Here is a 3509-nt window from a genome sequence, read left to right on the forward strand (position 1 = left end):
TAGTTCTCCTTGAAGAGGTCCTTCACATCACTTGTAAATTGCATTCTTAGGTATTTTATTCTCTTTGTAGCAATTGTGAATGGGAGTTCACTCATGATTTGGCTCTCTGTTTGTCTATTACTGCTGTATAGGAATGCTTGTGATTTTTGCACATTGATTTTGTATCCTGAGACTTTGCTGAAGTTGCTTATCAGCTTAAGGAGATTTTGCGCTGAGACGATGGGGTTTTCTAAATATATAAATCATGTCATCTGCAAACAGAGATAATTTGACTTCCTCTCTTCCTATTTGAATAGCCTTTATTTCTTTCTCTTGACTGACTGCCCTGGCCAGATCTTCCAATACTATGTTGTAATAGGAGTGGTGAGAGAGGGCATCCTTGTCTTGTTCCAGTTTTCAAAGGGAATGCTTTCAGCTTTTGCCCATTCAGTATGATATTGGCTGTGAGTTTGTCATAAATAGCTCTTATTATTTTGAGATATGTTCCATCAATACCTAGCTTATTGAGAGTTTTTAGCGGGAAGCGGTGTTGTATTTTGTCGAAGGCCTTTTCTGCATCTATTGAGATAATCATCCGGTTTTTGTCTTTGGTTCTGTTTATGTGATGGATTACATTTATTGATTTGCATATGTTGAGCCAGACTTGCATTCCAGGGATGAAGCCGACTTGATCGTGGTGGATAACCTTTTTGATGTACTGCTGGATTCGGTTTGCCAGTATTTTATTGAGGATTTTCAAATCGATGTTCATCAGGGATATTGACCTAAAATTTTCTTTTTTTGTTGTGTCTCTGCCAGGTTTTGGTATCAGGTTGATGCTGGCCCCATAAAATGAGTTAGGGAGGAGTCCCTTTTTTTTCTATTGTTTGGAATAGTTTCAGAAGGAAAGGTACCAGCTCCTCTTTTTACCTCTGGTAGCATTCAACTGTGAATCCATCTGGACCTGGGCTCTTTTTGGTTGGTACGCTATTAATTACTCTCTCAACTTCAGAACTTGCTATTGGTCTATTCAGGGATTTGATTTCTTCCTGGTTTAGTTTTGGGAGGGTGTATGTGTCCAGGAATTTATCAATTTCTTCTAGATTTTCTAGTTTATTAGCATGGAGGTGTTTATAGTATTCTCTGATGGTAGTTTGTATTTCTGTGGGATCAGTGGTGATATCCCCTTTATTATGTTTTATTGTGTCTATTTGATTCTTCTCTCTTTTCTTCTTTATTAGTCTGTCTAGCAGTCTATGTATTTTGTTGATCTTTTCAAAAAAGCAGCTCCGGATTCATTAATTTTTTGAAGGGTTTTTCATGTCTCTAGCTCCTTCAGTTCTGCTCTGATATTAGTTACTTCTTGTCTTCTGCTAGCTTTTGAATTTGTTTGCTCTTGCTTCTTTAGTTCTTTTAATTGCGATGTTACGGTGTCGATTTTAGATCTTTCCTGCTTTCTCCTGTGGGCATTTAGTGCTATAAATTTCCCTCTAAACACTGCTTAGCTGTGTCCCAGAGATTCTGTACGTTTTGCCTTTCTTCTCATTGGTTTCAAAAGAAATGATTTTTTTTCTCCCTTAATTTTGTTATTTACCCAGTAGTCATTCAGGAACAGGTTGTTTCCATATAGTTGAGTGGTTTTGAGTGAGTTTCTTCATCCTGAGTCCTAATTTGATTGCACTGAGAGACTGTTTGTTTGCACTGAGAAACAGTCTGAGAGACTGTTTCTTATGATTTCCATTCTTTTGCGTTTGCTGAAGAGTGCTTTATTTCCAATTATATGTTCAATTTTAGAATAAGTGTGATGTGATGCTGAGAAGAATGTATATTCTGTTGATTTGTGGTGGAGAGTTCTGTAGATGTCTATTAGGTCCACTTGGTCCAGAGCTGAATTCAAGTCCTGACTATCCTGGTTAATTTTCTGTCTGGTTGATCTGTCTAATATTGACAGTGGGGTGTTAAAATCTCCCACTGTTATTGTGTGGGAGTCTAAGTCTCTTTGTAGGTCTCTAAGAACTTGCTTTATGAATCTGGGTGCTCCTGTATTGGATGCATATATATTTGGGACAGTTAGCTCTTCTTGGTGCACTCATCCCTTTACCATTATGTAATGCCCTTCTTTGTCTTTTTTATCTTTGTTGATTTAAAGTCTGTTTTATCAGAGACTAGGATTGCAACCCCTGCCTTTTTTTGTTTTCCATTTGCTTGGTAGATCTTGCTCCATCCCTTTATTTTGAGCCTGTGTGTGTCTCTGCATGTGAGATGGGTCTCCTGAATACAGCACACTGATGGGTCTTGACTTTTTATCCAACTTACCAGTCTGTGTCTTTTAATTGGGGCATTTAGCCCATTTACATTTAAGCCTCATGTTTTTATGTGTGAATTTGATCCTGTCATTATGGTGCTAGCTGGTTATTTGGCCCATTAGTTGATGCAGTTTCTTCACAGTGTCAATGGTCTTTACAATTTGTTATGTTTTTGCAGTGCTGGTACCGGTTTTTCCTTTCCATATTTAGTGCTTCCTTCAGGAGCTCTTGTAAGCCAGGCCTGGTGGTAACAAAGTCTCTCAGCATTTGCTAGTCTGTAAAGCATTTTATTTCTGCTTTGTTTATGAAACTTAGTTTGGTTTGATATGAAATTCTGGGTTGGAAATTCTTTTAAGAATGTTGAATATTGGCCCCCACTCTCTTCTGGCTTGTAGAGTTTCTGCAGAGAGATCCACTGTTAGTCTGATGGGCTTCCTTTTGTAGGTAACCCGACCTTTCTCTCTGCCTGCCCTTAACATTTTTCTCATTTGTTTCAACCATGGTGAATCTGACAATTATGTGTCTTGGGGTTACTCTTCTCAAGGACTATCTTTGTGCTGTTCTCTGTATTTCCTGAATTTGAATGTTGGCTTGTCTTGCTAGGTTGGGAAAGTTCTCCTGGATATTATCCTGAAGAGTGTTTTCCAACTTGGTTCTATTCTCCCCGTCACTTTCAGGTTCACCAGTCAAGCATAGGTTTCGTCTTTTCACATAGTCCCATATTTTTTGGAGACTTTATTTGTTCCTTTTCATTCTTTTTTCTCTAATCTTGTCTTCAAGCTTTATTTCATTAAGTTGATTTTCAATGTCTGATATCTTTTCTTCCGTTTGATCAATTCTGCTATTGATACTTGTGTATGCTTCACGAAATTCTCGTGCTGTGTTTTTCAGCTCCATCAGTCATTTATGTTCTTCTCTAAACTGGTTATTCAAGTTGACAATTCTTCTAACCTTTTTTCAAGGTTCTTAGATTCCTCGAATTGGGTTAGAGCATGCTCCTTTAGCTCAGAGGAGTTTGTTATTACCCACCTTCTGAAGTCTACTTCAGTCAATCCATCAAACTCATTCTGTGTCCAGTTTTGTTCCCTTGCTGATGAGGAGTTGTGATCCATTGGAGGAGAAGAGGCATTCTGGCTTTGGAATTTTCAGCCTTTTTGTACTGGTTTTTCCTCATCTTTGTGGCTTCATCTACCTTTGGTCTTCGGTGTTGGTGACCTTCGGTTG

The sequence above is a fragment of the Homo sapiens genome, chromosome 6, assembly GCF_000001405.40.
Source record: "Homo sapiens chromosome 6, GRCh38.p14 Primary Assembly".
In the NCBI taxonomy this organism is placed as follows: domain Eukaryota; kingdom Metazoa; phylum Chordata; class Mammalia; order Primates; family Hominidae; genus Homo; species Homo sapiens.